The 21,236-nt window shown below is 41.9% G+C and overlaps 1 long non-coding RNA gene across 1 annotated transcript; it reads right to left on the reverse strand.

Annotated features, from left to right (window-relative positions):
* Positions 1 to 3,550: 3,550 nt before the first annotated feature.
* LOC105373401 (uncharacterized) lies at positions 3,551 to 16,412 on the reverse strand. Its single transcript, XR_001739180.3, has 4 exons — positions 16,142 to 16,412; positions 6,319 to 6,524; positions 5,536 to 5,700; positions 3,551 to 4,997 (listed from the first exon to the last, which is right to left on the reverse strand). It is a non-coding gene; the product is annotated as an uncharacterized LOC105373401 (long non-coding RNA).
* Between the last annotated feature and the right edge of the window lie 4,824 nt (positions 16,413 to 21,236).

The raw sequence follows: 21,236 nt of genomic DNA on the forward strand, positions 1-21,236 counted from the left end.
CACATTTGTATAGACTTCCCAGGAAGACTCCATAACTTGTCAGACCCAGCACAGATGAAAATGGGGAGCTGCCCTTTGCTCAACATGATTAACAATTTTAGGATGGCCATAGCAGAGCCTTCAATCAAGTTCAGGGCCCTTCTGAGCTTGCAGACTCTGGGTGACTGCCCATGGAGCTGGCCTTGACTTTCATGTGGTATCTTCAATTATTCAGTGAGGAAGATTTGTGTGTTCTTCCTCCATTTATTCAATCATTTATTTATATCAGTATGAACCTATTACATATTTTATACATGCATTTATAATCCAATACCTTGGTTTTCTTGCCAAAATTGTTCCAGCTTGTGCCATTGGAAGCTCTTCCCAGTTGTCCTTCCTTACTGTGTAATGGTGAACCTAGTGAATTAAGTTGGAGCCCTTTGTAGAGGCTTCCATAATCCTTTTGCATTGCTCCCCTAACACAATTCAAGGTCACCGATCCAAATGACAGAGAAGGCTGAGAATCAGAAGTGTTCTGTGGCCTTTGTGGGCAAAATGAGGGCTGGCAGGACCCAAATGAGAAGGAAGTTTACTAACAAAAAGAAAGTGTATCAGGCAAGGCTGACTGCACCTGCCCTCCGGCTGCCCCCACTGAGGTCTGCTGCACAGGCTGCCAGGCACAGGTTTGGTTCTGAGTGGAACAATCCTGTGTTCCTTAGAGTCTTAACTCTAAGTCTTCTGTGGGCGACAGGATCCTGGCAACCTCAGCAATTGCCTGGAGGCCGTGGAGGGTCTGCTGGTGTCCTGAGGGTGTATGTTGCAGCTTTCCAGGGGCTGCTGGGCTGGGTCAGGGCAGTGCTGCCAGGGGACTCTCATCAAGGCCCATGTCATACAGATTGTTCTGGGGATGGTGGTGTTTATCATTATGGTCATATTTTTAATTATTAATAAACTATTCAAGTAGAGGCAAGCTAGCCACTATTTTCCCTCCCCCTGGAAGAAAGACAACACATTTTTGAGAACTGCAATGTAGATTAAAAACATATTTGGTGCCCAAAGTGATCTGAGAATGTATGTTCATGCAAAAAACCTGCATACGGATGTTTATAGCAGCTTTAGTCATAATTGCCAATACTTGGAAGCAATCAAGATGTCCTTCAGCAGGTGAGTGGATAAATGAACTGTGCTGCATCCAATCAATGGAATATGATTCCTCATGAAGAAGAAACGAGCTTCCAAGTTGCAGAAAGACATGGAGGAACTTTAAGTGCATTTTGTTAAGTGGGCAAAGATAAACTGAGAAAGGCTACATACTGGGTGATTTCAACTATATGACATCCTGGAAAAGGCAAAACTATGGAGGCAGTAAAATAATCAGTGGTTACAAGGGGTTTTGGGGAAGGGAGGAATAAAAAGAGGATCACAAAAGATGTGTAGGGCAATGACACAACTCCATGATACCATCATGGAAGACACATGAGTGCATTTGACAAAACCTATGGAATTCACACCAAGATGCAAACCCAATGAACTATGAACTTTAGTAATAATGTACGAATATTGGCTATAACTAACGTATTGCACCAATGCAAAGTGTTAATAATAGGGGAAAACTGTGAATGAGGGGAGAAGGAGTATATGAGAACTCTCTGTACTTTCTGTTCAATTTTGCTTCAAAACTCCTCCACGAAATAAAGTGCACTAATTTAAAAAATTCATACTTAGAGGTCTTAGTCCACTTCAGTGCAAACCAGATCAGAAAACAAATGATTAAAAACACATGAAACACCAATAAAGAACTAGAAATCTCCAACTTTTCACTTGATGTTTACGTAGACACCTTTGAAAAGAAGTAAAAGAAGGTAGATAAAACACAATATTGAGAGCAAGTTGACCGATGGTTGACATTGCAAGGAAGTTTCAGTCTGTACAAGATGCATCAGGATACATCCAATTTGAAGAAACTGCAATAAAAACATCCTTCAAAACCCATCTGATGAATGAAGAACAACTTCAGACAGCACTGAAAGATGCTTCGAAGGGAAAATCTAATATTCCAAGAAGCCTAAAGTGGAAGTAGAAGGATAGAAACGGAGAGTGAGTAAAGTTATTACAATAAAAATGTTCTAAAACTATAAAGAGAGGTAGGTTAAGCCTCTGGATGGACAGTTGCAACAAATAAGAATTTTCGCTAGTGTTATTGGAAAAAACAATGTGGATAGCAGGAACTTGAAAATACATATTGTGAATGCCACGAAAATGAAGACCTCCTAGAAGATGACTCAAAGGAATTTCAAAGAAAATGATTGATGTGGCTGAATTAAATATTTACTTTAAAACTTTTGAAGAGGAAACCAAACGTATGCTAAGTTAACTCAGGAAGATGAAATAGCCGATGCACTTAAAGATCACATAAAAATCCTCTAAACTGAGAAAGCATCATTGCAGTTGGAGGAAAATCAGTTAGAAAAGGAAAAGCAACCACTCCCGAAGGAACTTCAAATCTTCTTAGAAATGCACCAGAAGAAATGAGCATTCAACAAATATCTGATTTGGGGAGACTGTATTCTGTAAGATAGGAGAGTAGTTTTCCAAAGCAGATGAAAACATGCTACAGTACCTGATAGTCACAATAAATGACTATGTTACTGGCTTATGTGCTTGTTATCCTATACATTTTTATTGTGATTTTAGAGTGTACTCTTTCTACATATATATGTATATATATATATACACACACACACATATATAGTGTGTATATATACGAAGAGTGTATATATACGAAGAATATATATATATATGCACTCTTCATATATATATATACTCTTTATGTGTGTGCATATATATATATATATATATATATATATATATATATATATATATATAGTTTTTAAAGTAACAATAAAACAGTCTCAGGCAGATCCTTCAGGAGGTAGTCTAGAAGAAGGCATTGCTATCAGCGGAGATGACAGATCCATGCACGTTATTGCCCCTGAAGACCTTCTGGTGGGACAAGATGTGGAGGTGGAAGAGAATGATATTGATAACTCTGACCCTGAGTAGACCTAAGTTAATGTGTGTGTTTGTCCCTTCATTTTTAATACAAAAAGTTTAAAAATAAATAAATAATTTTAAAAATAGAAAAAAGCTTACGGAGTAAGAATATAAAGAGAAAAATATTTTTGTGCAGCTGTACACTGTGTTTGTGTTTTAAGCTTTAATGCTGCCTGGGACTCGCTAGGTCACCGCTGCTCCTAGTGATCTCTCCCTCCTCCAGACAGAGCATTACTAACATGGGTCACAGTCACAGCTCCTACACGCAGGGCTTGTATGGTTCACTTTACCTCACCCTCAAGGTACTGGAGACTGATAATCTATTCAGTGTAGCACCCCATCACTTACAAATATCTTTCACTTTGTCTCATTCAATATTCTCAATTCTGAGAAGTAGGTAAGTGCAACAAATTCTCATAAAACTTAGTGGCTTAAATAATGGCTTTATTTATTTATTTCTGAGACAGGGTCTCACTCTTGTCAATCAGGCTGGTGTGCAGTGGCAGTCCTGACCAACTGGGCTTAAGCAATCCTCCCATCTCAGCCTTCAGAGTGCCTGGGACCACAGGCAAGTGCCACCATGCCCAGCTAACTTTTTTGTATTTTTTTATAGAGATGGTGATGTGGTTTGGCTGTGTCCCCACCCAGATCTCATCTTGAGTTGTATCTCCCATAATTCCCATTGTTGTGGGAGGGACCTGGTGGGAGATAGTTGAATCATGGTGGCAGTTTCCCCCATACTGTTCTCATGATAGTGAATAGGTCTCACGAGGTCTGATGGTTTTATGAGGAGAAACCCCTTTTGCTTGGCTCTTACTCTGTCTTTGCCTGCCACCATCCATGTAAGATGTGACTTGCTCCTCCTTGCTGTTCACCATGATTATGAGGCTTCCCCAGCCACGTGGAACTGTAAATCCAATTAAACCTCTTTCTTTTGTAAATTGTCCATTCTCAGGTATGTCTTTATCAGCAGTGTGAAACAGACTAATATAGATGGGGGCTCATGATGTTGTCCAGACTGGCCTTAAACCCCTGGGCTCAAGCAATCTTCCCATTGTAGCCTCCCAAAGCACTGGGATTACATGTGTGAGCCACTGCACCTGATATTTTGCTCACACATTTATGATGTGCTTTGGGCTGAGAAATGGCAAGTCAGCCCTGTTCCATTTGGTGTCAGCTGGGCCAGCTTAAAGGCTGGGCATAGAACCACTGGGAGGCTCACTCACTCCCACATCTTTAGGTATCTGCTCCAGGGAGCAATGTAAGCTCCACAGCAGAAGAAGCACATGTGGGAAGGGAAGTGCAGCCCTCTTGGACTGTGCAATGGCCACAGAAGTTATGAACATACCCATTTTACCCGTAAGGAAACCAAGACACACTGCAGCTAAAAGGTGGCCCAAACTCCCTCAGAGAAGAGCAAGAACTCAAACTCAGACCAGTTTGCCCTTCTTTTTCTTTTCTTTGTTTGTTTTTTTGTTGTTGGACTTTGTGCTTTGTTGATTTGTTGGATTCATTGTTGTTTCTTTTTATCTTGAACCTGGTAAGCAGCCCAGCCAGGATACAAACTATGGTTATTCTTACACTGAATCCAAATGGATTCTCAAGATCTAAGCCTTCTCCTTTATTTTGAAATCAAGGGAGGTAGAGTAATTCATTAAAAGCCAAATAAGGCCACTTTTCCCCATATCAATCCTGTGGTTGGGGCCTCTCCCTGCAGGGGTGCAGAAGCTGTGTCCTCTGTGGAGGAGCACTCAGTGGGGCTCTTGAGTCAGGCTGCCTGGCTCCATTCCAGTCCTAGAGACTTAGCTAAGGAGCCTCAGGAAAGTTACTTAACCTCCATTCTTAGTTCTTCCAGAGATAGAATGGAGGTAACCACAATACCTACCCAAGGGTTGTCATCAGGATCAAATGAGGTAACTGGCAGTTAACAGAGCAGCTAGAACACAGCACCCGCTGCACGGTGCCTGGAACAAAGCAGATACATGCAGGCATTAACAGATGATCCAAATTGATACAGGCACGCTTACTAATTCACCTAATACATTTCATTGAGCAACTTGCATCTTGAGAACTACTGAAGTTTTCTGAACTTAGCTCTGGAAACTTTGATATCTCACATTCCTTTTTCAAGCCTCAGTTTCTTTATCTGTGCAATCACCATACATTTATTAGCTCCAAAATTTTTCCAGCTTTCCTATTTATGACCTCTAATCTATACAGTATAGTAACTTTATTTATAGTTAACAGTCTGCAGGATTATTATCACAGCATCCTGATTTGAAGCCTGGAGGTTCTCTTATTTTAAAGGGGAATTGTATAAAGCAGGAAAAAAAACATTGGTTTTACTCTTTGGGGAAAAAAAAAAGAAGACCTGTTACTAACATTTTGTCATAAGCTTGTCTCGTATCATTAGTCTTATACTGAAGAAATAAATAATGTTTCTCAAAACACAGTACTTGAAGCAATTTAATTTATTGTGACATTTCTTTGTGATGTTTCTACCTGTATTTTTCCTAGTATATTCCAGGAATAAGAAAAGATCCTTGGACTTCATGGTCTCAAGTGGACTTTGTGTTTTTGCCACCAGTCTGCAGGAGGAAGAGTGGGAGTTTGCTGTCTTCACATTTCGGGAAAGCCTGGGCCAGCTGAAGTGGCTACAATTGGGTCCTGGGGCAGAAAAGCAGAGGAAGTGTCAGAGAGGAAAATAGCAGAAACAGGCCCTGAAAGGCCATATCCTAAGACAGGGGAGAGGTCAGCGGCCCAAGGAAGAGGCCCCAACCTCACTACCCGACAGCTCTGTGGGGAGATGAAGGACCTCTGTGGGGTCTCCAGGTGGTGCTCTTGGAGAGGTTGTATGCCAGCTTATTCCAAAAGAGGGGCTCCCAGACTGAGCAAATGTCTGGCCTGGATCTGCCAGATCAGGTGAACCACCTGCTTTCAAGGACCAATGAAGCTGAGATGATGAGGATGTGAGCAGTGACCTCAATGAGTGAGAGAGGAGGCTTCCTGACATTTTGGGGGCCATGTAAGCTGTCTGTGATCTGATGAGGCCTTATGGGAGACAGGGAGCCCCCAAATAATGCAGCTTGACTATTCCAGCTGCCAAGTAGGGTATGGGCTCATAGTCAGGTTTAATTTGATATAAAGGAAATATAGCAAGGTAACCTTCCTTTCATAACCCACTGTATGACTCTTATGCATTAAGAGTCATACAGCAGAGTCATCCCGAGTACTCCACTAAAATAAGGGCATTTTGGGTCCCTTGGAAGGTAACTTGGAAGTTACCTGAAGGTAACTGACATAGCATCATAATCTTCACTTTTGCACATGCTGTTTCTTTATTTTAGACCATTTCTTCTCATCACTATTGATATCCACATTCATTTTAGCCTTGAAGGCACGTGTCAGCTGATCTTTCAGTATCCATGGAAGCTCTGTGTGGCAGGAAGTGCAAGATGCATGACGTATATTGTCTCATTTAGCCTTCATCACTGCAGAGAATAAGTTACTATTATTCTCACACTATGGAAACCAGATAAGAAATCAAGGCTAACCCCAGCTAGATGACTCTCTGACATACTACACTAAGAGAGAAATGAACTAGACCTCAGATCAGCTCCCATCCAACTTTAAATTCTTTCGAAAAAAAAAATCTCTGTTACCTGTCCTCTTTATTTGAGAGGTTTCCCCACATTGACTCAGACAACCTTGGGTCACAGAAGACTCAAGAGCCCCAGCAGTGCTAGGGACGCCACAGGACAGGGTGGCCGTCTTTATCACGAGTTCATCCAAGGCCCTAAATGCTTGATTCTGACCACACACTTAACCAGGAGAGGGACTCTGTGCTGCAGTAACACCGGGCATCAAGTATGCTGAGGGGTAAAAGTGACCTTGGAGTTTAGACAAACAAAGCCATGGCTCCAGCTAGAATCACCCATCACCCTGCGGAGGGTGGAGGACAGACTGCAGTGGTTGGGGGACTGGAGAGAGAATGTGTGTCTCCAAGGCAAGAGGGAGCTACTGCAGGGACACAGGCAAGGAGCCATGGTGGGGGCCATGAAGAGACAGAGGCAGACACAGAAAGACAGAAAGGCAGACAGTGTATAAGTACTGGTTGGCTAGGGTGCCACAACAAAACACCAGAGACGGGGGCTTACACAGCAAATGTTTATTCTCTCACAGCTCTGGAAGCTGGAAGGTTAAGATCAAGGTGTCAGCCGGGCTGATTTCCCCCAAGCTCTCTTTCCCGGGTTGCTGATCACCAGCCTCTCATGATACCCCCATGGTCTTCCCTCTGTGTGTGTCTGTGTCCAAATTTCTTCTAGTCCCATTGGATTAGAACCCACCCTGATGGCCTGATTTTAACTTTATCACCTATTTAAAAGCCCCATCTCCAAAGGCTGCCAATATTCTGAAGTCCCTGGGGGTTAGGGTTTCAATATATGAATTTTGAGGGCACCGACTTTAGCCCATAATGAGGGAGTGGTAGGGAGACTACAGCCCCAATACAGAGCTCCTGTGTACTTTGAGGGGTGAGGGTGGATGACTGCTGGGCTCTCAGGGAAGGCACACAGCTATGGATTCCAAATACCAGCTACAGATTCATCACCTAGGGGCTTGGACTCCATGACCTTTGAGCTCCTTTGCATTTAATTCTAATATTGTGACATTGATTAGTCTCCTTGAGGGCTTCCTCTGAGCCTCCCATGGGTTTTGCTGTCATCAAGTTGGCTCCTCCTGAACAGCCTTTTCGAGACCTGGTGAGCACTTTAGGGCAATGGTGCTAGGAACACCCCATTGTAATAAGCCATAATGTGCTGGAGGGCACAGTAGCATCTGCTTCACTTCCTGTCTGGCTCAGTATTCTCTCAGCCCCCTGAAACACGGCTCCACCCTTGTGCCTCATTCCCACCTCCCTTCCATTAAGGAGTCCCATGAATTCTGCAGAGCCAACTGCTGTTAGGACTTCAGCCTCTGTGAACCCTGGTTTCTGACTTCACTGGTAGTTTTTGCTCAGCCTAGAAAAAAGGAGGAAAGCAAACCTTATGGCCTCCTTCCTGTGGGCCACGAACTGTGCTTTGATATTTCTTCTTGAGTCTTTATAACTTTACTTCAATGGAAGCATCATTATAATCTTATTTTAGAGATGAGAAAACAGAGACTCCAAGGGGTGACCTAAGTCCCCGAGCATAACACAGAGTAAGGGGCAGAGATGAGGTTCAGAGCCACCTGTGCTTGGCTGGTAAAGGAGAGAGCTACACGATGGGCTCCCGCAGGGATTCCTGCCCAGGACACTGATTTCGGAGGTTGGTGAGGCACTCACTCTCTACTTATTACAGACCTTTAAATCTTTTCCCCTCAATGAGATAATGAGTTTAAGCAGGTACCCATGTGATTGTATATTTTTCCTGAATTCTGTCCCTGCCCTCATTGCTAGCCATACTATGGTACTCAATAAATAATTATTAATAATGTGGACACTCAGGATTTTAAAGGGCTCTCTTTTGGATGTGAAGAGGACTTTATCCTTAAGTCATTAGATTTTAAAAGTCAAGTGTTTGTGCTGCATAAAATAAGAAGAGCTATTATCTCTGTTTCCACATACACAAGACTCAAACCCCGAGAAGTCGGGTAACCTGCTAGCTTCACCCTACAGGCAGCCAAGGCTGCTTCCTTCTCTGGCTCATCATCAAAATCCAGGCACACCAGTTCTGAGGCCAGTTACAACCTGGAGTACTTACAGGATTTATTTACAAAGTGTTCATCTTTGGCTTTTTGAAGTATTTAGGGGGAGTCCATCTGCCATTGATCCATTTCTTTGCCACGTGCAATACTATTTATCCAGAACTATTCCTTCTACTTACTTGCTTAGCAGGCATGTACTTAATGTTTCTCTGTCTCAGTGTTCTCATCTGTAAAATGAGTCTTATTATACCCACCTCACAGGGTAATTGTTTCAATATCATATAGTTGTGAGGATCAAATGAATAACCATATGGAAAGAACTTAGCACAGTTCCCAGAATGGTGTGAACATGTAATAAGTATTTGCCCTAAGCATTCATTCTATGATTGGCTTAAAATACTCAATGAGTGTTAGATTAGCAATAATTATTTTTTTCAACTTTTAAGTTCAGGGGAACATGTGCAGGTTTGCTACATAGGTAAGCTTGTGTCACAGGAGTTTGTTGTACAAATTATTTTGTCACCTAAGTATTAAGCCTAGTACCCATTAGTTATTTTTCTGATCCTCTCTCCCCTCTCACCCTCAGGTTGGCCCCAGTGTCTGTTGTTTCTCTCTGTGTCTATGTGTTCTCATCATTTAGCCCCTGATTATAAGTAAGAATATACAATATTTGGTTTTCTGTTCCTGTATTAGTTTGCTAAAGATAATGGCCTCCAGTTCAATCCATATTCCTGCAAAGAACATGATCTTGTTCTTTTTTTATGGCTGCATAATATTCCATGATGCATATGTAGCACGTTTTCTTATCCAGTCTAAAATTGATAAGCATTTAGGTAAGGAGTTTAAACAAAATTACCAAAAAACTCAACCCCATTACAAAGTGGGCAAAGGACATAAACAGACACTTTTCAAGAGAAGACATACATGGGGCCAGCAAGCAATGGAAAAAAGCTCTACATCCCTGATTATTGGAGAAATGCAAATCCAAGCCACAATGAGATACCGTCTCACACCAGTCAGAATGGCTACTATTAAAAAGTCAAAAAAATAACAGATGCTGAAGAGGTTGTGGAAAAAAAGAAACACTTATAGACCATTGGTGGGAGTATAAATGAGTTCACCCATGGTGGATAGCAGTGTGGCGATCCCTCAAAGAGCTAATAACAGAATTACCGTTCGACCTGGCAAACCCATTACTGGGTATATATCCAAAGGAATATAAATCGTTCGAACACAAAGACACCTGCATGCATATGTTTATTGCAACACTGTTCACAATAGCAAAGACATGGGATCAACTTAAATAGTTCATTTTTGAGGTGGAGTTGCGAGTTACTACTTTTTAAAATCTCTTCTTTCCCTTTTCCCTCATTTTCTTTTTCTCCCCAGTAGCATAGTTGATGCATAGTTTTTTGGTGTTTTTTTGTTTTTTGTTGTTTTGTTTTTTTTTTATTTGAGATAGAGTCTTGCTCTGTCGTCCAGGCTAGAGTGCAGTGGCCAATTTTGGCTCACTTCAACCTCCGCCTCCAAGGTTCAAACAATTCTTCTGCCTCAGCCTCCCGAGTAGCTGGGATTACAGGCACCCACCACAGCGCCTGGCTAATTTTTGTATTTTTATTATTTATTTATTTATTTATTTATTTATTTATTTATTTTGAGATGGAATCTTTCTCTGTCGCCTAGGCTGAAGTGCAGTGGCCGGATCTCGGCTCACTGCAACCTCCGCCTCCCAGGTTCAAGCCATTCTCCTGCCTCAGCCTCCTGAGTAGCTGGGATTACAGGCACTTGCCACAATGCCCGGCTAATGTTTTTGTATTTTTAGTAGAGATGGGGTGTCACCATATTGGCCGGGCTGGTCTTGAACTTCTGACCTCAAGTGATCTGCCCACCTTGGTCTCCCAAAGTGCTGGGATTACAGGCGTGAGCCACCTTGCCCGGACATTTTTGTATTTTTAGTAGAGATGGGGTTTCACCATGTTGGCCAGGCTGGTCTTGAATTCCTGACCTCATAATCCACCCGCCTCGGCCTCCCAAAGTGCTGGATTACAGGCATGAGCCACCATGGCCGGCCATATAGTTATTTTTTTTAATAGCCACTTAACACAAAGAAACCACCTCTTATACCATATTAAAAGAAGACAATGAGTAGAAAACAACAAAAGCCTTGTTGAGAAACACGTGCTGTACAGTCAGGTAGATTTGCTCCTTTTACTAGCAAAGGGAGTAAATTTCAAAATAGAATGTGCAAGGTCTTCAAGCGAGAAGAAAAGAATATCTATGCATGTTTATTTTCATTTAGCAAATTAGAAAACAAATTGAGCTTTACTGGCATTTCATGTACAGATTGACAAAAGAGTATGTAGAAAAAGAATGAATAAATGTACAGTTTGGAATGTACATTTTTTCTTTTTCTCTAACTACTTGAGTTGAATAATCAAGAATGGCTGGAGGCCCTTCGTGATGCTGCCTGCCTGTGATCCCATGCTTTGGGAGGACAAGGAAGGAGGATTGTTTAAGACCAGGAGTTCAAGACCAGCTTGGGCAACAGAGCAAAAGGGCACAGTTGGAGCTGAGTGCTTACGCCACTCACAAACGTTGTAAATCCTGAGAATTGCTTTTGAGAGAAAAATAATTGTGTTTTATTCCTCATCATTCCCAAATGCATAACACAATGGCTGGTGCATTTCACCTGTTCAATCAATAAATGTGACTTATTGTTATTTTACCATGATTAGCGATGAACTATGCTATGTGCCTATTTTTTTACTTAAACCTCAGAATATTTCTGCCAAGTTATGCAATAGTATCCTGTTTTAAAGACAGAAACCAAGGGGCAGGGAGAACATACGATTTCTTCAAAGTCATGTGGCCTCTCAGCTCTAAAATTGAAGCTGAAATCTGTCCATTCAGCATGAGGTCTCCTGGTTTCTGTTCTTATCTAAATGGAACCGGAGAAGGGAAGGTCCTACCTTAGGGGAACTGAGGAATGAGGTGAGAGGGGCACAGATGTGGGCTACCTGGGGACCTTCCAAACCTCCCTGACCTTCATAAGATTGTTCTCAGGATTAAATAATAATGATTAATTTAAACAAGCATGTATTATCGCTTTTGGCCACTTACCACATGAACTGACCTATCGCTATCGGTCTTAACTTGGAACAGAGACAGCATAGAATTCAGAGACACAGACCTGGGTGAGGGCTAACTCTCTGCCCTTAACTAGCGTGGAAATACAGGTCTCCCTTTTTTCATACGTCACTAGGGGATGCTCACATTTATTTTATTGAACATTTAAGATACTTCAAAATGGTGCAAGTTCCTCATACACAGTAAATTCCTGATAAATGAAGTAGCTATTATACCACACTATTTCACTTTTTTCATGTTTCTAAGTTAAAAAATGTTCTCACCTCAGCTATAATTTTTAAAGTTTGAATCATGGAAACAGGTGAGTTATCTTATGAAAGCCAGAAACCATGTCCTAGGCAAGAATGGCCATGGCTCTTATTCAGTGTCCCTTTTTAAATGCCTTCTAACCGGATCATAGACCCAAAGGGGACCTTGGGGACCCCTGCTCCTTCTCACATCTCAGTTACAGGAAATAAGGCCAAAGGGTTTGTATTACCAGCCCAGAGTCACTCAGTGAGCTCTTGTCAGTGTCAGGACTTAACCCAGATCACTGGGCTCTTTCTTCAGATGTCTCTCCTCTGCCACCTTGACCCATCTCACCTGCCTGGTTCCTGACCCTGGATTTCATCACCTGGGTCTTTGTTCCCTGGCCACTCCTCCTCAGACTCTAGACTTTCACGGAGTCTAAGCAAAAAGACATTCATACAGTGTTGTCACCCGGGCCTTGGTTGCATCCTCTGTTTGTGGCTCCTTGTGGTGCCTCCTGACCAGTTTCCTTGTGCCTTTGCTTTATCTCTTCTGTGTTTACTTGGATTGCCAGAATGTGCAAGTCAGGAGTTCTAAGAAACAAAGTGTGTCCCCAAACCAGTCCATATAGGGTGTATTGTGGGCTACCTAAGAAACTTTTAGCATTTGGGTGGTTTCAGACATGCATATGCAAAATGCTCACAAAGACATGCAACTCACACAGCCACATGCATACAGGTGTGCCTGTACACAAAGCAAATTCTCATATGTGCATGCACACACATGGGCACACACATGTGCACGCGCTAGCACACACACACAGCTTCCAAACCGTGTCATCCATTTCGCATTGTGGCTCTGAGTGATTGGTTTGATAAAACAAAAAATACGTGGGGCCTATGTCTCGTCTGTAGACTACCTATGAGATGCAATTTCTCTGAGATTTTCAAACCGTCTGGCATCTGCAGACTTCAAAACCACTTATAGATATTATAAAACCAGCTCTGATTGTATCTTGATGATTGCTGACATTTAGTGTCTGTCAGCCTGGGGGAGGAAAAAAAAGAAAGAAAAGAAAAAAAGCTTTGCCCCACTAGGATTTCTCCAGCTGGGGCAGCTGAGGCTGTGGCTGTCAGGGGAGGCCCGTGGGACTGTCTGCTGCAATGCTCCAGTGAGTCCTTTCTGCAGCCCAGCATCTTTGGGGCCACAGAGCTCTCATTTCCCCCTCGACCACATTGGTTCTGTGTCCTTTCACACCTGACCCCTTTGACTGACAAACTGGAACAGTACCTGGGAACAAAAGGCAGTTATATAAAATCTAAAGCAGCATATTAATATTTCATTAGCAATTCTTTTCTCTCTGAGGCTGACTGACAGCTCCATCAAGATAGTGGCAAAGCTGATTTTAATTATTTTTTTTTCAACCTGCATCGCTACTCTCACTGCCTCTTCCTGCTGTAAATCAGTCAGAATGTTTTCCTTCATTATTACCACAAGCGCTCAGCAGTCTCTAATTACTCTAAAGAATTTCTTATCTTTTATTTCTAAAGCTGAGATTTTGAAGAGAAGGAGAACGAGGGAGAGAGCCATAATTAACTTTGCAGCTGTTGGTAGTCTGCCCAAGTCTAGAACCGCGGCTATCCCCCCTCCTGTCTGCTCGGCTGTTAGGGGAGACTGGGTGCAGTAATGATAGCATGCTCTTCAAAGCAGGGAGAGCCGTGTATCCAGCACACTCCCTTTGGAAATGCTCTTCAGAATGCATTTTTAATACCGAGATGATTAAAGAGCACACTCAGGAAGGCTTGGCCCACACGTGCCTAAGTGCACAGGGCTTGCATCCCTGGGAGGAGCAGTCCCGGCTGCAGGAGCCTCTGTGTACACCCAGCAGGGCGCTCCCCATCCCCAGCTAGCAGCCTGGAGACATGGCTAGGTGAGCCTCTTGCCAGAAGAAATCAGGAAGCATATTATGTAGCTTTCTGCTGGGCAGATTGTGAGACTAGGTCTCCTCCCTGGGAAACGGGTCCCATCTCCTCATGAGTGCCAAGCACAGAAAGGAGAGGGACCGTTTCAGATGACTGATGAAATATATATAATCTAACCACCCTGGAGGCATATAGCCTTGTCATTAGATATGAAAAGCTTCCTTCAGGGGATTGCATTGGCTTCCTGGTATTATGACTTACAAGGAGAGCAAGATGCAAATTGAGAGTTTTCATGATAATCGGTCTTTTCTATATTTCTCCTGCATTGAATCTCTCTCTGGCCGTCTCTTTGAGTTTTATTGTGTTGACGAATCTCAAACTGATTATTCCTTGGAAATAAGGAAATAAACAGAAACGAAGATAGGGCACACAGCATATATCTTATAAAAATATGACTTAGAGCCAGAACGCAGAGAACGTTGAGTTTTGTATTGTCTTGCGGGTGACACACTCCCAGCTGGGCAGCAGGGGTCTGTGTAAATGGAAGAGATGAGGAAAACTCTGAAATTAAGCCACGAGTTCATTCCTGAGCAGCTGTGCTATGAAATGGTTCAACACTAGCGGCCCTCTCACAGGCTAATGGGCACCTCCCTTCTGATGGGGGAGACCACCTGCACTAATGAGCCCGCGATTATGCAGCTCCTTGGATGGCTCCTATGGGCATTCCTTGTGGACAGGAGCCCCAGCTCTGATGAACGACCTGCTGAGGATTTATGATGTGGAAGGCCTCCCATCAGGGACTAGCCAAAGCCCCTCCAACTCATTCAAATCTTGATTATCAAGGGTTCAAAATGCAGTTTGTAAAGATGAGAGGCCACCTCCATCTCTCTGGTTTTCTGCTGAGCGCTTTGAGTGGGGAATCTCATGGACATGGGCTCACAGTGACACTGGGCAGGCAAGAGCAACACCTCACAGCGTGCATGTCAAGGGACACAGACATCACACATACTCAGGGGCCTTTCTGGGGGCCTCAGCTGAGAGCTGATCAAGGCTCAAGGAGCAGAGACTGTGGGAAACTGAAGTATTAAGGAGTGGGAGCTCAGAGTGCCTCGCTGCGGCACTAACCAGGCTAATGTCCTTGCAGAAAGCCCCTGGCCGCCCTCCTCCCCACTCATTCAACAAATGAGCATGATGCTCACTGCCCCGCCAATCTCACGTGATACTCCGGGAGAGAATTGAGGCAAATGCACCGGGATCTGAGAAAGGAGCAGTAACGATAAGCATCTTGTGTTTTATTTAAAGTGGAGAGTTATGTCCACTTGCATAAGTGCAACGTTTGGTCTGAATTTGCACCTGGGCTAAGGCGAGCTTGCTGCCAATAAGGCTCACTCACCCTCTGAACCAATCACCTTCTCTATTTAGAGGAAAATATATAGTTGCCATTATTCATTCCGTAGTCCACTGAATTCTTATTTAAAGAGGATCTTGTGTCTTTACTGTGGTATGATTCCTCCAAAAATCAGTTTTGATTTGGTATATAATATAGAAATACAAATTTCTCCCTCCCTACTGAATGAAGCGTCATGCCTGTAGAATCTCCATGAACCCATGAGGCCATGGCGGTTGTAAAAAACGAGATAAATGAAAGGTCTGATCTGTTGGGGAGATGCTCTCTCTCGCTCTCCCCTGTGATGTGATTTAAAGCAGTAGGCAGTGAACCAAGCATTAACAAGGCTGATGAGTCAGCACGGCCAAGGGCAAGGGCGCTGCTCTGGTTTCTCCACCTGTAAAGTGAGATTGATAATCTCTTGCCACCATTACTCCTAGGAGGATGTGTGAGGATGAAGGGACCAGTATCTGCTGAGAGCTTTGTCCTATTCCAAGAGCATAAGCAACAATGTCTACTGGTCCAGTAGCTATAAATTAATATCAAGTACACAATAATAGTGACAATAATAATAGGAGTAGCTTTGCCCTGCACAGCACTGTGTGGTTTCAAGAGCAACTATGCACATATTACATATCTGCATTTTAACATAAAACAGCCCCATTTACAGACAAAGGAATTAAGGTGGACAGGATTAAGTCATTTCTAAGGTAACAGAGCTAGTAAATGACAGCCATACCTGGGGTCTAGGAATATATGGTTCACACTCTGCCCCACACCATCTCCTTGCTCATGCTTGACTCTGCCAACTTGAAATATCTCTGGCCCACCAGGGAGATGGAAGACTGATCACGAACTGGGAGACCTGGATTCTACTCCATGGCTTCTTTGGGAAAGCCTTTTCATATCCATAAGCTCTTCATCTATAAAAGTCAATGCCATTTAAAATTCACTGAGGTTCTTTCAGTTCCAAAATTGGACACAATCCATGATATCAGATATAATGTTGACTTGTCAAAGAAAAGGTGAATGGGATGTTTTTCATTAGATTCATTGTGTATTAATTTTTACAATTTTTGTTCAATTAACAATGTCATGTGTAATATTTACTATATTTTAAAATATTGTATGTTGAAGTGAGATTTATTTCTGAAGAAACATGCCTAAAAGCACATAACAGAACAATATAAAAACATAATCTGATTTATAAGAGTTTGATATAGTCTCTTTTAATGCTATGTTATTTTTATTGAAGGATTTAATACTATACTATGATGAATAAAGAAGGCCTCCAGGATAAAAATCCATGGGCTTTTTGTTAAACATAAACTTAATTTCTTAAAAAGCGACTGACTAAATTTTACTTTTAAAAGCAAGTGTTAATGCAATCGAAGTAACAAGAGTGGGCAGACTGCATGTAAGATGGATATCAAGCTATCTGAAAATATCTTTCTTACATTCCTGAAATTTGTCTGTTTAGTTTTTCACCATTTGCTAAACATCTCTGTCTTCAAAAAAGCTTCTACCAAAATGTAAACCTATGATGTGAGAAAGTGATACTCTTCTCATTAGATCTTCCTATCAATTTATCATATTCCTTGACCATTTGCTGAGTGAGTTCCGAGAAAACTGGCCACAGGACAAGCGATTATTAAAGAAGAAGTTAGAAAGGGAAGGAAACATTCCTGAGGGTAGGAGATGGTGGAATGTGAATCTTCATAATGTGGGAATCCCAGGTGGCAGAGTAGTGGGAAAGCTTGTGAACCTTTCCATGCTGAGAGAAACTAGTCAAAGTCCTTTTGCATTTCTTCCTGGAGCTGAACTTAAGCTCCAAGGTGACAAAACACAATTTTGACGTTGAGAATCATGAACAAGAATTTTCTGATGAGCAAACTCAGATGCTTATGACTGTTTCCTGATCTCTAAAAGGAAAAGGTTAAATTGGAGTTCAGCTCAATTCAATACAAGATGTGCTGGGCACTTGTTCTTGTCCAAGGGGAGATGACAAGAGCCATGATAGAAACAAAAATATCAAGATACAGGAGCTCCCTGACCTCCTGTCTTCAGTTCAGTGGGGAAACTGAAATGTGTGCCCTGTCTCACTGGGCACAGTAGGATAAGCTCTTTGCTGTTTATGTGCTTGTTTACAGTCACACACTCCTGGGAAGCAAAGATCATGTGTTTATTTATGAAGCCCCTGTTTGCCGACTCTGATATCCTATATGCTGAATATCAGTTAATCAGTGTCAGTTCAGTTAATGCTAGAGACAGTAAAGCAATGGAATTCAGGGTTGAAAGCAATTAATTAGGTGAGACAGATATCATAGAAAATGTTCTGGGGCCAACAGCTACTGAGTGGGGCTTTAAATACTGTACAAGATCCATTTAGGCAAAGCCATGTGGGGGTGGAGTCTCCATATTTCTATAAAACCTCAATGGTTTCCTGACAGGAAATGTTATAAATTATTCAACGTTTCTGATCCCTTTTCTCTCTCCTAGGATGCAATTTGCAAAATTTAAGTCTGTCTAATTCAGAAGAAATCACTACTCATATACTTGAGTTAGCCAAACCACAAAGAATGCTTGCCTGGAGATCAGGAGGGCTGCAAATTCCCTTCCAATGTCATCCTTTCCCATCCTCGGTGGTGGTCGCCCAGGCAAGTGGAGGGCTCAATGTTGGGAGTAGATGTGTTAGTTCTGCTGCAGCTGGGCTTTGGTATCTAATAGAGAAGAAAGATGTCAACAATTTGTGAGGCGTAGCACCTGGAATAGGGATCCAGCTGCCCATGCTTAGAGTCTCAACAGGGATTAAATGCCTGAAACAAATATAATAACACAAATTTCAACTGGTAGAAATCTTTTCAACACTGAATCTTACACTGCGTGAATACTCTCCAGCTTTGAAAGACAGAGAAATAGAAGCATAGAGAATGATTTGAGAAATAAAATGCAAAGCAAGCCAAGTGTTCATAGAGCTGTGAAGCTTTGTAGCTGAAAATGATTCTATGGATCAGTGTTTCTCAAAATATGGATTAGAGATCTAGATCAGAATCACTACGCTTTTGTCCCCTACACCTCCACCACCCAAGATTTCCTGGCTTAATCCAGGGATTCAGCAGCTCTGGGGTGGGTCTCAGAAATCTGCATTTTTAACTAGTACTGATTGTGTTCCACTGATTTTCCTCTGAAATTTTATGCCCAATGGGGAAGTCCATTCACAGTGAGGGAAATGAGCCTTGGAAAAGCTCACTGCATGAAACTGATCATGGACTAGGGCAGCCGTATTAAACTGAGAGTTTCCCAAAGAGTCATCGACATTCACCTTGGCAGTGACTGGCTCTACTGGGAGCCACTCACTGAATTTTCATGCTTTGTCAGCACGCAGATGGGAGCAGGGAAGGTGGAGGAAAGCACAAACCAGAATTCACTTTTCATCACATAAGCAAAAGCTGTGCCACAGAAATAGGATGACTGTGGGTTTGAGCACATGTAAGGCATTGCATCCCCAGTGCAGCTGCTTCTGGACTCTAGGAGGTTAGCCTGATCTTTATATCACAGTGTGGATGCCAATATGCAAACAAACATCTAACAAACAAAATAAAGAACAAACTTCTTTTATCTTTGCCATAAAGAAGTCTGTAAAGAGCCAGATAGTTAATATTTTAGGCTTTGCAGGCCACATGATTTGTATCTCAACTGCTCAACTGTACTTTGAAAGCAGCCATAGACAATACATAGAGTAATGACGGTGGCTTTGTCCAAGAAATACTTTGTTTTACTATTTACAAAAACAGGTAGAGGGCCAAATTGACTCTGGCTGAGTTTTAGACCCTGAATTTATATAGCATTACTATCCTGAGCATTTATAGACTGCTGCTGCTATTGTGGTTGTTTGTTGATTTAGCAAATTTTGAGTTTTGTGATTTTACATATGCCCCTTCCCCTATTTTTTCTTAGAAAAAAATGACACGATGTGTTAATACATGTCATGAATAGAACTAGCACATTCCTACTGGGTATTTTCCTTTCTTTCATTAGTGCCTTAGGCTATGTAAACATCTTTATAAGTGAATTTTGTTTATATGTAATTAGCATCAGTGTTTTAACTTAAATCACCTCAATATACTAAAAACATTGTTATTCATGCTTAGTTTTACCAATTTTACCAGCATTTCTCCAAACTTTGCTGCAGGAGTACAGTCACCTTCATAGCCCCCCTCACCTAGGCTTTTCTGGGTGAGGAGGTATCTCTCATATGATCCTCTTCAGTTATATATTCATTCTACAACTAAATGGTTCCCAGAAATTCCTCTCCTCTTATGCTGTCATGCGCATTCACTGGGTTCCATGTGGTTGGCCACTGTTAAATTTTTTTTTTTTTTTTTATTTCTTTGCTTCAGAAAGACATGTCACATTCTTCTGGTCACCAAGTCCACTTCTATTGGGAATTGCCACTCCTGCCGTATAACTATACCTCTCTGAATATGAGGGTTCCTTTCACATCCATTGCCATTAAAGGGGGCCAGAGGCAGAAGAACTAAAAGATGGTTTTAGGTAAAGTGGGAAGGATGTCTTTCTCTGTTTCTGTGCTATAATTTGTCATAAAGGTGTTAACAGAGCTCTGAATTATGTCTAAATATTTTCAGCAGTCTTAATAAAAACACCATTTGAGTTTTTACTTTTGGGGCTCACTCTTTTGCTGTAAAACTCAAAACTGGACAAACACATTTGGAACCAAGACAAAAATTATTTAGAGACCTTTTTATAACATCTCATTTTCTGACTAATCTTGCACAAGTGGAGATCAAGCCTTCATGCTCTACCCTCATTTCTGTAAGAAGGGAGTCTCCTCAGCTCCTCTATGAGTGAACATGTGGTGCCCACCACAGATGATGAAAAATTCCAAGATTCAGCTTAACCAACCATTCATCCTTCAACAAACACACCCCTTGTGTAAGGTGTAGCTCTTTGGTCTCAGCCTTTTTATTTCAATCAGTTAATTGTTCTTTGTTTGACCTTTAAATATTGGTGTTTACAAGGCTAAGCATAGGTCCTTTCTGTATTTCAGTCTCTACTCTTTCATGATGATTTTCTTCTCCAGGATTTCTATGAGAATATATAGTCAGAGGGCTGCTAAATTAAAATTTTCAACATGATTTTTATCTCTGTAATCCAAATGAAGAGACCCCAAATCTATTTAGTATCTCCAGTTCCAATATCTGAAGAGAGTGCTTTATCATGGACTTGGCAGCAACTCTTCCCTTCAGGATTTCAGGGAGCATGGGATGAAAAAGTTCACTTCTTGACTTTCTCCAACAGCTCTGCCCCCACTAAAGGTGAATGCCTGCTGGGGCAGGGCCCTGTTAGTGCTTCTCCTTTGCCTCCACCCCCACCCCACCTGCCGGTTCTCATTCTTCAATGCCGTCTGCTATACTGCAGCCTGAATTACAGCAACACATGACATTACATCAGTGCAACAGGCAACATCTGAGAAACGCACTGGACAAATGTAACTGCGACAAAAAACTCATACAAAGCCTCAGAACCCTGAAAGCACCCAGAAATGAGGTCAATTGATCATAACACAATAAATATCACAGTCATATCCCTAAGGAAAAAAATAATTAAAAACTCAAGAATCTGCATTCAAATGATAACAAATTCAGAAAAACAATAAAAAAAGTTCCAGCTGTCTCAGATGATAAGGAACCAGCATGAGGACTCTGATACAAAATGCCAGAGTGTTGTCATCTTCAAATGATTCCACTAGCTCACAAGCAAAGGATTCTAACCAGAGTGAAATGTCTGAAATGGCAGATAAAGTTTTCAGAATA

The sequence above is a fragment of the Homo sapiens genome, chromosome 2, assembly GCF_000001405.40.
Source record: "Homo sapiens chromosome 2, GRCh38.p14 Primary Assembly".
NCBI lineage: Eukaryota > Metazoa > Chordata > Mammalia > Primates > Hominidae > Homo > Homo sapiens.